At 46.7% G+C, this 13,615-nt stretch overlaps 2 protein-coding genes across 10 annotated transcripts in view, besides 2 other annotated features; both read right to left on the bottom strand.

Moving 5' to 3' along the window:
- Positions 1-877: 877 nt before the first annotated feature.
- C11orf91 (chromosome 11 open reading frame 91) lies at positions 878-9,167 on the bottom strand. 2 transcript variants are annotated; one of them, XM_017017053.2, is made up of 3 exons: positions 5,285-9,167; positions 2,862-3,883; positions 878-1,131 (listed from the first exon to the last, which is right to left on the bottom strand). In XM_017017053.2, the coding sequence occupies exons 2-3, from the start codon at positions 3,355-3,357 to the stop codon at positions 1,046-1,048; spliced, it is 582 nt and encodes a 193-aa protein (XP_016872542.1). In that variant the 5' UTR covers positions 3,358-3,883; positions 5,285-9,167; the 3' UTR covers positions 878-1,045. The 2 variants fall into 2 exon arrangements, with proteins under 2 accessions (XP_016872542.1, NP_001160164.1); NM_001166692.2 differs by lacking the exon at positions 5,285-9,167 and having other exon boundaries at positions 2,862-3,443.
- Positions 3,109-3,198: a silencer, noted in NCBI's record as "silent region_3239". NCBI's record gives its function as "represses an Ori minimal core promoter by ATAC-STARR-seq in GM12878 lymphoblastoid cells {active_cell/tissue: GM12878}" and the evidence as "EXISTENCE:reporter gene assay evidence [ECO:0000049][PMID:35858748]".
- Positions 3,379-3,618: a silencer, noted in NCBI's record as "silent region_3240". NCBI's record gives its function as "represses an Ori minimal core promoter by ATAC-STARR-seq in GM12878 lymphoblastoid cells {active_cell/tissue: GM12878}" and the evidence as "EXISTENCE:reporter gene assay evidence [ECO:0000049][PMID:35858748]".
- CD59 (CD59 molecule (CD59 blood group)) overlaps positions 5,627-13,615 on the bottom strand; it is a 33,470-nt gene continuing 25,481 nt past the window's right edge. For all 8 annotated transcript variants that reach the window (NM_203330.2, NM_000611.6, NM_203331.3 and 5 more), the window contains one exon: positions 5,627-12,960. In NM_203330.2, coding sequence (NP_976075.1) covers positions 12,743-12,960 — 218 coding nt within the window. In that variant the 3' untranslated portion in view covers positions 5,627-12,742. The remainder of the gene's footprint in view (positions 12,961-13,615) is intronic.

The following is a 13,615-nucleotide window of genomic DNA, read 5'->3' on the forward strand; positions in this document are numbered from 1 at the left end:
AGGCTGTCTAATGACTCTGTCCCACTTGGAGTAAAGCCCAGAGTCCTTACTGTGACTATAAGGCTCTATACAAATGGGCCCCCTGTGTATTCACCCCTACCACTCTCCCCTCACTCCTCCTGCTCCAGCCATCTGGACTGTTTGCTGGTTCTCAAAAATGCTGCCATGCTCCCATCTTTGAAGCAGCCTTTGCACTGGCCCTTCTACCTGGCACATTCCCTAGGGTGTCACGTGGCTATGACCCTCAACCTCCTTCAGACCTTGTTTAAATAATACGTCTTCAAGAAACCCCATGTGAAATTCTGCCCTGCCTTCCTCTGACCCACCCTGGCAATCCTTACTCTGCTTTTTTTTCCCCCTTAGCATGTCATCTTCTATGATACCATATTATGATTTACTTATTTATAATATTTATTGTCTGTCTCTCCCCCACCCCCAATCCCAAGTGCCTAGGCACAAAATAAGCACTCAATAAATATTTCTTGAATATATGAATTTCTAGGAAGGTCCAGGGCTTTGATAAGATTATCAGAGAGTTTGTGGTCCAAAAAACATTTTAAAAAAAATGAAAACACCAACCACTTCCAAGGAGTAAATATGTTTGGGAAAAAAAACAAACCACACACCAAACCTCCACTATTCCAGTCCTCAAAGAACCTTTCTGAGCAGAGACACAGCAGTAGAACCAATATATACATTGCCCTTGGTTTCTCCCGATTCCTTCCTGATAATCTGTTGTTCTGGTTTGCATGACTGTGGTAGTGTTGGGGGTTCCCTCCCTGGTCTCGGGAGACCTTGAATGCTGGCTGGACAGCAGCTTCTAGACACCATGAGAGAGCTCCCTCAGCAGCACATAGAGAGGAGAGAGACCATGAGATTTACCACACAAAGTGGGCACTGTATGTGAAGTACATGCTGGTAGCAACAAGAACAGCGGTAAATACAGAACAGAAAATAACCATCTTTGAAATGACAACAAATGGGACACATTATCTAAGCACTAACACCTAAGGAGGTGGCTGCCCAAGCTCTGGTAGGCAGCTCCTCAGGAGAGAGAGGCCGACTTCTTTCCAGGTTGCTTGGTCTTCAGTCCTTGTAACTTTTCGTCTTTTAGCGCCTTCAGGAATGTGTCTGCAGGAGAGCAAAACAAACTTAGCCGTAATAGAGATAAGGGCTTTTCCTAACACTTCCAAAGCAAACTCTTGGGAAGCAACTGTGCTTCCTCGACCCTAAAACTCCATTTGTGATCCAAGATGGGAGAGAAAAAAACAAAAAACTGAAAACTCTGACTGTAAAAACATGTAACTGGTTCTGACTGTACATGCAACACATCCAGTTACATGTGTTTTTACAGTCAGAGTTGCTAAGTCCTGGATTTCTTCTTCTTCTAATTTTTTTTTTTTTTTTTTTTTTTTGAGAGGGAGTCTCACTCTTTCACCCAGGTTGGAGTGCAGTGGCACAATCTTGGCTTACTGCAACCTCGGCCTCCTGGGTTCAAGCGATTCTCCTGCCTCATCCTCCCGAGTAGATGAGATTACAAATGTGTGCCACCAAGCCCGGCTCATTTTTGTATTTTAGTAGAGACAGGGTTTTACCATGTTGGTCAGGCTGGTCCTCAATGATCCTCTTGTTGGTCAGGCTCCTGACCTCAAATGATCCACCCGCATTGGCCCCCCCAAAGTGCTGAGATTACAAGTGCCAGCCACCACACCCGGCCCCTGGATTTCTTAACTATGTATTCGGTTAAGATTTCTTAACTATGAATACATAGTATTATGTATGTATTCATAGTTAAGAAATCCAGGACTTAGCAAAGCCCAGTTTTTCTAGGGACTGTCTTCCTTCCATGGCTATGAGAAAGGGTGCATTACAGTGTGTCTGATGAACTGAAGACCATTTCCATGGCCACACGGACCTAAGCATTTAGGTTATTTCATACTTCCCTTCTCTGTGTGGCAGGGGAAGCCAACTTAAGCCGTTATATACGATAGTTGGAATGATCTTTTTAGAACTATCTGCCCTTCTCCAGTGGTCAAGGACAAGCCTTAGCCAAAACAAGTGATGGGAAAGACAAAGTCTGCAGGACAACCTACCGCTACTGAAAGTTCTACTTTGCAATAGGTCCTTCTTGGAGTACAAGGCATTTAACAACTTTACCCTCCAACAGGGAGGAGTCATTCAGCTCGTAGGCTGAGGGATCCTGCCCGCATCAGCACACGTGGTCCAGAGCCCTAAGACTTCAGACGTAAGACCAGATATCAGCCCAGGATCCTGGTGAGAGAACTACCGGCGCCAAGGCCACAGAGTCCCAGGGGGGCTGCCCCCCAGCATTGAGAAGTGGAGTGTCCCAAAGCTGCCCTGGAAACGGCCTTGGGCCTTGTGGTTCTTGCACAACTCCCACCTCCCCCTACAGACAACTGACAGTCACCTTACTTCACCTTCCCCCCATGGAGAGCCCCGGTTTAGGACCGAACATTAAAGCTTAGGGACTGTCTGTGGTGGGTGGAGCTCCAGAGTACAGGGTAGGAGGATGACTGTGCAGGAGGATTAAAGTTCAGGACGGGGTGGTGGCGGATGGAGTTCCAGGTGTGGAGGCTCAGAGTCCAGATGACCCAAAGGGTTTAGGACGGAGGGAGGATGGAGTTTGGGACTAAGAGGCTCATGAAGTTCAGATCTGTGGTGGGGGGAGGAGTCGGTTAAGTCCAGGATAAGGGAGTCTGGGTGCTAGGGGATAGATTTTGGATCTGGGACTACTGGGGGCTGGAGTCAAACCAGGCTACATTTCGGGTCGGGGCACGGAGCCAAGGAGGGAGCTAGGGCAGGCTAAGGCTGGGCTCGGTGGCCCTGGCGAGGTCACGCACAGCTCTGGGAGTCGAAGCCGTCCCCAGTGATGGTGAGCAACTCCAGCTCCTTAATCCGGATCTCCAGCTCGCAGAGCTCCTCCGGGTGGGAGGCAGAGGCGAGCCTGGGGGTCGAGGGGCAGGGGACCAGGGGCGAGGCAACCACCTCAGGCCCCGGCGGCGGTGAGTAGAAGAAGCGCAGAGGCTCGTAGGGGATGGAGGCCAGGCCGGAGGGCCAGGGCGAGGGCCAGGGGCGCTCGCTGGAGGGACCCAGGCCGGGTGGTGGCGGGGGCGGGGGCGCCGGGGCGGGGAGCGCCTGGGACAGGGACCGGGCCCCCGCCGCCCCGCCCACTGGCGCCCCGCCCGCCTTCAGCGGCACGAAGAGCTTCTTCCAGATGTTGAAGTCGCTGAGCGGGGACGAGGAGATGCCGCGGTCGTACAGGGACGGGAAATAGAGGGGCGGAGCCGACCGCTGGCTCATGGTGGGGCTGTGGCTGCCGCGCCGCCCCTTTGGCATCGTTTGAATGAGGGTCTGCGTGGGAGGAACCCCGCGCCGGGAGACGCGCGCTCAGGCCCCGAGTCGCCGGGGTTTCGAGGTTCCACAAGCCCCGCCCCGATGGAGCGCGGCCCCACCCTTTCGCCTCAGCCCGGCCCCTAACAGGCGGGGTTCCAAAGCCCGGACGACCACGTCCCGGAACGCGGCCCCGCCCACCTCGGCTGGCCGCACCCCGCAGTTAGAAAGCCACGCCCCCTGGCTCGCCTCGCCTCGCCTCCCGTCCCTCGACTCCGCCCACCGCCTCGCTCTTGCTCTGCGACCCCGCTGGCTTCCGTTGTCATATCCCAGCATACCCTCATCCAGAACAGGCAGCGGGCCAGGGCTGCAGAAGAAAGCTTACTTCAGGCTTCCTCTCTTTCTCCCATGAGGGAGAAAAGTATTTCCTAGAAACCTGGCCCCTGCACCAGCAGACTTACCTCATTGCCTCACTGGCCGCGCCCACAGCAAAGAAGTCTGAGAAAATCAGTGTCTGATTTTTCATCCACTACTGTGGGAGGCAGACAAAGGAGAAGAGGATTGATTGGGAATGGCTGTTAGAGCCAACCTATGTATCTGCCAAACGTTAGCAGTGTTGAGGAAGATTCTAGAAAAGGGGATCCTCATCTGGTTTGTAATAGACCTGAAGGAGTGTTTTCAGTGAAATGCAGTTTAGTTCTCTTCCAAACACAGATATCACCAGGAGCTAACAGGCAACGAGCTAACCACCAAAAGGAAATCCTGTCCGCCCTACCTCAAATACTTCACCCATTGCTTATGAGCGATTTGGACATTTTGTCCAAAGGACATGACAGCTCATTTATGTGAGTAACCTGTATTAGCCATAGACTGAGGGGAAATAACTAATACATTTTCTTGAGAGCCTCTGCCTAATGATCACTGGTATGACTAGTGATGGGTGGAGGGCAGTTAAAGAGTCAGTATCAGCTTCACAAGTTAAATATATATATGCATATGTATCTGCACACACAGTGCAAAGTGTGTGTGTGTGTGTGTGTGTGTGTGTAGCAGCAAAGTGGAGAGAGTCAGATATTCAAGCTGGGTAGCCTTGGACAAGTTGCTTGACTTTTAAGTAGGTTTTCCATAAAATAGAAATAAGAAAACCAGGCTGCCTCATAGGGTTGTGATCAAACAGAAGACGGAACAGTGTGTGTGTGAAACACTTGAACTTGGACACTTTGTCCAAACACAAGAGGCAGCTGTCCCTACTAAGGGGCATGTCTGAAACTGGGAAGCTTTTTCTTCCCACACTGAGCTTCCCACACTTAGTTGTCACACGCAGTATTTGCTCTCTGACTTTGGCAGCCACCCATCATTGTTTATTCATACAAGTGATCACTAGGCTGAGGCTCTCAAGAAAATGTATTTCCCCTCAGTCTATGGCTAATACAGGCCATGTGCGATAGCTCAGCACCCAGCCTGTAATCCCAGCACTCTGGGAGTCTGAGGTGGGATCTCTTGAGGCCAAGAGTTTGAGAACAGCCAGGGGCAACATAGCGAGATTCTGTCTCTATAAAATAATTTAAAAAATTAACCAGGTGTGGTGGCATTTGCCTGGAGCCACTCAGGAGCTGAAGTGGGAGGATTTCTTGAACCAAGGAGGCTGAGGTTGAGGCTGCAGTGAGCCACAATCATAGCACTGCACTCCAGCCTGGGTGACAAGGCAGGACCCTGTCTCAAAATAAATAAAATAAAATAAAATAAAAAATACCCTTATCTTCCATTAGTTTCCCCCACATATTTAACTTCCCATAATTTACTGCCCAAGAAGCTCAAACCTCTTTTCCTTTGTCTTATCACTTTTCTACAATCGCCCATTGTTAAAATTGTATATAAGCTCTCAAGCCACTTCTTTGGGTTTTCACTTTGTTTCTGTAAGAACCCCATGTACCTGCGTAATAAACTTTGTCTTCTGTTAATCTGTCTTTGTCAGTTTAATTCTCAGGCCCCAGGCTCTGAACCTAAGAGATTAGAAGAAAAATTTTTTCACCCCTACAGAACCACAGTAATGGTAAGAACCAGGGTTTTGGACTCAAGACTTGGGACCAAACCCTGGATCCACTATGTATTTGGCTGTGCGGCTGAACCTTTCTCAACCTCATTTTTTCATCAATATAATGGGAATAGTAATGGCATCTACTTGCTTAGGTTGGCAAGACTAAGTGAGACAGTTTAAGTACCTGGCAATGGCTTGTGTTCAACATTAGCTCTTGTTATTACATATTAAAGGCCCTTAGAAGGAAAAGAGATTTTGCGTTATATTTTTTAAATGAAGCAATACAATCATTTTTTATGTATATATCTAGTTGAGGAGAAAAAATTACAGATTTTTTCCCCCTTACTCCAAGATAATCTAAACAGATTTTACTCTGGATGGCTTAATTATAACATAATCCATGAAGTTATAGCCAGGGGGTTAAATAAGAAGTTGATGACAAACTTGGTTTCTCTAACAAGTATGCAAGAAAACTCAAGTGCCACAATGAACACCCATAAACTGCTGTCAGGAGGCAAAGTCCCTATGAGGTAATAATAAACCCACGAGGTTAAGGCAAAACCCTACGGTTGTTTCTGCAAACAAATGTCCAGGAAACTCAAGTTTGTGATGAAAGAACAGTCTTGAATTCAACTTCAGCAGAACCTTTCCCTCCCTGGGCTCCAAAGCACTATGTCACCTACCTCTCCACTCAAATGCCCCATTAAGTACCATCCTGTTGGAGCTTCCTAACGCCCCTGCTCCCTGGTTTCATTTGGAACCAACTGAGAGACACAAGTCCCTCTTCGTTGATCAGGGTCAGTTGAAAGATGTAGCTGTCGGCCTGGTAGCCAGGTGGGCTTGCTAATCCTGCACCTCTACCTTAAGCTTACCCAGCGTGAGGCCAGGTTAGAAAGTCACAGGCCTTGGCAGCAGGCAGAGAGCCTTTACTGTCATAGTGAAGAGCTTGCCAAGGACAGGACTGATTCTTCCTCCAGCCTCACCTATCGGGGCAGTCATTGTTCCGCTGTCAGGAGGAGAGGGGCCAGAAGGGTCACACTGAAGAAATGTGACATGAGGGTGGAGGTTCCTGTCCAGCATTCTTCACTCTCTATTTAACCGAGGCTGACTCATTGCAGTTGGCACTAATTTTCCATTGCCACAGCCCTCTCCAGCCAGGAGGGCCTGGAGTACCTGAGGTGCTGTTTGCCGGGTTCCCTTGGTCCTCAGACTGCTCCCTTCAGAGAAAGCACAGAAAGCCTTCTCTGTCCCAAGGAGCCCCCCTTCCCCTCCCCCACTCCAGCTCTGCATCTGGACACACTGTCAGCCATCAGATCCTGACCAGGTGCTCAGCCTCTTTAGGGATATGTCACAATTTGCCGTGCCCGGTGGCTCTGGGCAGCCTTTGGACATGTAGTGGTTGTGTCTTGGAATACAAGAGTTGTGCCTGAATCTGGGACTCTCTGTGACCCTGGGAAAATCACATCAGCTCTCTGAACCCCAATTGTCTCTGATCTATAAAATGAAGACAGTATCTACTTCATAGGATTGATTTGATGGACATATGTATAAGCAGTGCCAGGGACAACTAGTAGGTGGTCATTGGAGTGTGGCTACAGTTATTATACAGTTACACATGGATTCCTTGATTCCCCATTAAGCCCTGGTGGATGAATGAGGAAAATGCAGCAGGGGGTCCATCCTAGAAAACCCAACCCACTCCAGATAATCGCGCCAGCCTCACACCTGAGAAGCTGCTTCTACGACCTGCTGAGGACATAATGATAAACACACACAAGAGGCTACTGTGTCCCAGGCACTTGTCTTAACTCATTTAACTTTTCTAACAACCCTAAACCTAGGGTTCTCATTTTCCAGATGAGAAAACTGAGGCATGTAAGGTTAAGTAACTTGCCTGAGGGTCGCCGATTAGCATCAGAGCCGGCATTTCAAATAGACAGGCCAGCTCTAGAGGCCAGGGTGTTTGGACAGCCTCCAAATTGTCACCCTAGCCTTCAGGGCAAGGCTGCACACACGGCCTCTAGTCTCCTACCCCTCTTCCTGGCAGGAGGCTGGCTCTGACAGGAGGTTGTTTGTGCCACAATTTAAGGACCAAGCTATTCTGGGAAGCCCAGAACAGTCTTTCCTTTATTATTCATCTCAATTAACCATTGTGTTGGTCTGGACTTGGGGGTGCAGGCATTCCCATCTCCCTTTCAAAAAAGTTTCTAAAAAATGCAGAGCAGCCTTTATTCTTGTTTTCCCAGGTAAATGTGGTCCTATGTACTTGCAGAGTAAGAATTTAAAAAAATAAACCTGAGAGGTAGTTTAGTGGAATAGGGAGTACAGAGGCCTGGAAGATGAGGGAGCTGGGTTTAAGCCCCATCAACCGGCATCAACTAGCCATGCTACCTTGGGCAAAATAACCGTAGCTAACACTTAGTGACCACTTACTGTTGTGCGTTCTCATGTTATCCTGACAGTAACACTTATAGGGTAGGTCTGTCAGAATTTTCTGTCCACAAGCAACAGAAGCTTACACTGAGAATTTATTGGAGGGCTTTGAGACAGCTCATGTAATGGAAAGCTCTTAAGAACTAGGTTTAGAAGGTGCAGAGACCAGGGCAACTTCAGGGATCCAGGTAGCAGGAAGGAATCGGTAGCCTCTTTGGTATGGCCACTATGGTGGTAGACACTGTCTACCTTGTTTGCTGAGTCTTCTGGCTTTCTTCCACTCTTCCTGCTCTTGGACATCAGACTCCAGGTTCTTCAGCCTTTGGAATCTAGGACTTGCACCAGTGGGTTGGTTGCCAGGGGCTCTTGGGCCTTTGGCCACAGACTGAAGGCTGGCTGCACTGTCAGCTTCCCCAGTTTTGAGGTTTTTGAACTCAGGCTGAGCCACTACTGGCTTCTCTCTAACCCAGCTTGCAGACGGCCTATTGTGCGACTTCGCCTTCTAACTGTGGGAGCCAGTTCTCCCTAATAACCTCCCTTTCATATATACATATATCCTACTAATTCTGTCCCTCTGGAGAACCCTAATACATGAATTATAACTCTAAGTTTCAGTTCTGGCCATAGCATTATGTCACACCAACACCAGCATCAATATTTTAGGTTGCCTAATTAATGTATCTGTAAACCTATAGCCAGCTTGGGTGGGGCTATTGAGAGTCAGCACCAGCACTGATCATATATAGGATCAGCCTACTGGGGTTGGCCACGTTGTATGTAGCTGCGAATAGCAAGGAGGGGAACAGCAACATCCCTAGGGAAACCGATCACAGAAAGGCAGCTCACTACCCCACAGTAAAAAGAACCTTGAGTTTCCCAGTTCAGTCCCCTGCTGGGTGCATGCTACCCCCCTCCTCTCCCAGAGGCTCTGGACCTACACAGCTGCTGAAAAAGAGAAAATGTCCTTACCTACAATGAACCATCACAGGCACCCACCTAGAAATTAAGGTACTGTGGTCATTTATCTTATCCCAGAATAACAGGAGTGTGTATAAACAGGAAGCTTTAGTTTAGATAAATAAGATTATCCATTACAAAAATTTTATATTGAATAACCTGTAAGTAATTTGAAAAAGAGACTTCTGGCTAGTTTTCACTTATGTCCAAGTCAGTGGGGGTAAATGCATTGTGATTCACTGTAGGTTTTAGACTCTTACAGCCTTAACAACCTTGTAAATCCATAACTAGCATCTTCCTATCTGGCAGACCCTTTACAAATGCATTATCTCAAGCCTCACAACAATTCTTTGAGGTAGACATAGAAAGTGAAAGTTCAGAAAGGGTTTAAAAAAAAAAAAAAAAAAAAACTTGTCCAGAGACATAGCCAATTAGTGGAAGAGGGTTTGAACCCAGGTTCCTAACTACAAAATCCACGGGTTTAACTGCTGCTCTCCTGAAATGAAATATCTACAAGAAGTAGCAGGCATTGAGAAACAGATGGGAAGATAGTGTTTTGATATGATTTTCTGTTTACAGGAAGGCCTAACTACGTCCTGTTCACCTCATGCTATTGGGTAACTTTCCAGTAAAAAACAATTGCACTTTGTTTTCTTTTCCAAAAAGAGGCAGAAACTGATTTCTTCAAAGTAAAAAGGCACCAGGGACCCATTCTAGACTTTCCAAAGCTAGGCACATATTAAAGAGAGTATACAAAATAGGCAGAGAAGTAGACTTGCTGACCTGAGGAGCTGAGTGGGAAGCATGGACTTGCCAACTTACCTAAGTGACCTTGAGCGATCCAGCTAACTTTGCATAGTTTCCTCTTGTGTAAAGTGAGGTGCAAGTACAGATGAAAATGTATATAAAACATAGAGCTTAGAATCCTGTACCAGAAAGCTGCCCTCATCACAATGAATGTCAGTCAGTACTAGCTCCAGCCAGCTGCTCAGCCCATCAAGAATCCCTCAGGGGGATCTGTTAGCATTAGTTCAGATCTGTTGGCAGCAACAGAAACTAATGCGAGCTAGTAGACTTTGAACACTGCTAAAGAACTTACCAAGAGAACTCAGATGTATAAAAGTGGTTAATTCTGTCAAGAGGCCCAAAGTCTTGGGCAGGCTCTTATTTTTTCAGGACACACATAAGACATGGGGGCTAACTGCAAGGACACAAGAAAAATATACCCATACCTTGAAGCCCCCAGTACATTCAAGACCAAGTTTGGCAAATAGATTAGCATCTTTCAGGAAATACCATGAGCTCCACTTATCTACTCATCAGGTGTTCCTTGCACCCCTAGCTCATCCCCCCAAGGGGACAATCCAATGGGCTTATCACCACCCAATACTGAACACTATGACAGTTCCTGTAAATCCAGATGAGTGGAGGGCACAGGGTATTGGCTCTCGAGCAGAGAGCCAGTAGGCATGACTGGTGTTCGATTCCTAACTCCCCTGCTCCCTGGTTTCATTTGGAACCAACTGAGACAGACACATGAATCCCTCTTCGTTGATCAGGGTCAGTTGGAGGATGTAGCTGTCGGCCTGGTAGCCAGGTGGGCTTGCTAATCCTGCACCTCTACCTTAAGCTTACCCAGCGTGAGGCCAGGTTAGAAAGTCACAGGCCTTGGCAGCAGGCAGAGAGCCTTTACTGTCATAGTGAAGAGCTTGCCAAGGACAGGACTGATTCTTCCTCCAGCCTCACCTATCGGGGCAGTCATTGTTCCGCTGTCAGGAGGAGAGGGGCCAGAAGGGTCACATTGAAGAAATGTGACATGAGGGTGGAGGTTCCTGTCCAGCACTCTTACACTCTCTATTTAACCTAGGCTGACTCACTGCAGTTGGCACTAATTTTCTATTGCCACAGCCCTCTCCAGCCAGGAGGGCCTGGAGTACCTGGGGTGCTGTTTGCCTAGTACTATAAATGTCTTTACATTACAGTATTGCCTTTGGGTCCAGGCACTCAACCTTGTCTATGGCATGAGTCACAGCAACTTTTTGCAGAAAGCAACCCCAAAGTTTAAGGCCATTTATATGACCCTTGTTGATTTGGACAGCTTAACAGCCCCATCTCCCCATTTAGTGGCACTCAGATTTTGCTTTAGAGGACTACCTTCTTCCCAGTGTAGTCTGGCCAAAAAGTGGGTACATGACACAAGATAGCAGTAAGCCAATCTCATCCTAGAATCTCAATCCTGAGAGAGGCTTCCAAAACTGTCGACTCCTGGCTTTCTGGAGTGTGGCTGAATTCCCCACCCCCCCGCCCCCAAAAAAGTTCCCAGAAATTCATTTTCTGCTTAAATTCATCAAAATTGTTTCTCATTCCTTAGAACTCACATGAAATGAGCTTCTTTGCTCAGCCGGTGGCTGTGGGCATGGTCAGTACTTCCTCAGGCCAAAAAAAAAAAAAAAAACCTATTGATGTAAGGAAAGACACTGAGCTAACAGAGAACACAGAGCACCAAGGTAATGCTAAGTTTTGATAAGCAAGTTTCTATTTTCCTATGTTCAGGGAACGGCATCAACAGAAGAAAGCTGGCACTGCTCAGGATGTCTTCTTTCAGTTGCTACCATTAAGCATACTGCATATCCTTTTCGGCCATAACCACATTCACCCACTTGTTATATTTCATTTTCAGAAAAGCATCATTCATTGCACTCGGTTTGTCCAACAGAGTATAATCAAGGGTTTTTTTTCAACATTAATCAAGAAATTCCTCCATCTGCAAAAGTCAGCCTATGCCATTAAATACAGCCAAGATCATAAAATACAAATGTCATTAGGTCTACTGAATCTTGAGATTCATTCACTAGAATACACAGGGAAAAGGAAAAAGTTTGCCCTTGTGAAAGGTGTGTATCATTTTTTAGAAGAGCTTCTGAAAGCCTCAAACATCTGTGAGTGTGCTAAGAGCCGTTACAAAGGTATTTTATACAATCTATGCTGAGTCAGCTAGGAGTTAGCAGGAGGCTGGATGCAGATGGTAAAACATACCCCTGCAGATCTGTTGTTATTAAGGATGACCTTTGGAAGTCTCAAACTGTAACCACAAAGGGTGTCCCCACTGCATTCATACTATATACACACATACCTGAACTGCCTTTCTACCAGTAACATTTAAAATAAGCACACTTAATACTGCCAGTCACATGTAGTAGAGTGTTCACTCTGTAACTGTGTGTGGCAAAGCCAAGATATCCTACCATTCCAATAAAAAAAAGGCAAGGAAATAGCTTTAACACACCATTGATGTATGCTATTACACTTTTCCAGTGGAAGATAACAAAGCCCATATAAAATTTAAAGACAGAGGAAAAACTCGATTTTCAGCCACTTGTACCTCTCTAAGTTTTCATGCCCTGCTATCTGGAACACTTCCCCACTTCCCTGCCAGAAGTCCTCTAGCTCTGCATTAAGGATCTTGTTGTCCCTGACTGACACCCACATATGGAACATTTGGCATGCCTCCATGGCAACACGGGATCCCTGAAGTTTATGAAAGCGTTCCATGTGAGAGAGGATGCTCATATACTCCTGCCCCACCCTCCAAAGATGTACTAATGATGCTAACTGACTACATCCAAGGAGCCAGAGGAAAAATAATCTGAGGGCTGCAGAGAACCCACTCAAGCTGTCACTGCAAAGCTGGTCTTCCCAAGAGCAAAGGAGGAAGCATGCAATCTAGTTCAAGTCACACCTACTTCACTCTTAGACTTCTTCCTTCAAGTGGGGCTTCCCTGCAAACAGGACTGGTCTTCAAAGTCTCCCAGAGCCCCTCTATCTTAGCCAGGTTGCTCAAGCTAATTTTATTCTTTCCCAACAGGATCCATTTGGAAAATATCAAGCCTTTAGAATGTGGCAGCAAGAGAAAGCGGACTACGCAGGAACGGGGAGTTTGGGAGAAGCTCTCCTGGTGTTGACTTAGGGATGAAGGCTCCAGGCTGCTGCCAGAAATGGAGTCACCAGCAGAAGAACTGTTTTCTCTGATAAGGATGTCCCACCATTTTCAAGCTGTTCGTTAAAGTTACACAGGTCCTTCTTGCAGCAGTAGTACGTTAGCTCATTTTCCCTCAAGCGGGTTGTGACGTCGTTGAAATTGCAATGCTCAAACTTCCAACACTTGTTATACACTTGTAACCCTGTGGGGAGACACACACAAGGGTAAGAAAGTAAGTGGGAAGAGTTCTGTATCTGCTTTTGAATCCTCAATTCTATTTCGTATGTATCCTGTGCAAGTAGAGACTTCTAGGCAAGATGCTCATCCCAGGTGGGTTGTAAAGGAGAACAATTAAGTAAATAATGATACACCTCTAAATAGAGCTTTTACAGAAAACCAAGGTCTCATCAGAGCCAGTATAGTTATGGGGGTGGGACGGAGGAGGAACAGGCATTTATACTGTTAAGAGGGAAATTTGGTAATATCTGCCAAGATTTTAAACACATGCCCCCTTTGATCCAGCAATTCCACTTTTAGAATTTACGCTATGAAGTTACTTGGGGATTTTTTCCTTTTCTTTTCTTTTTTTTTTTTAGAGAGATAAGGTCTCACTTTCTTGCCCGGTCATCTGGTCTTGAACTCCTGGGCTCAAGTGGTCCTCCTGCTTCAGCCTCCCAAAGTGATAGAATTATAGGGGTGAGCCACCATGCCCAGCCAAAGCTATGTATAAGATATATGCTCAAGAATGGTCAGAAAAAAACCTGAAAAACCCAGTCCATTAATTTTTAAAAAGTGTTAAAGAAATTACAATAGAATTCCTTACAATGCAAGTTCCATGCAGATAAGAAATGACGTGG

Source organism: Homo sapiens, chromosome 11 (genome assembly GCF_000001405.40).
Source record: "Homo sapiens chromosome 11, GRCh38.p14 Primary Assembly".
In the NCBI taxonomy this organism is placed as follows: Eukaryota; Metazoa; Chordata; class Mammalia; order Primates; family Hominidae; genus Homo; species Homo sapiens.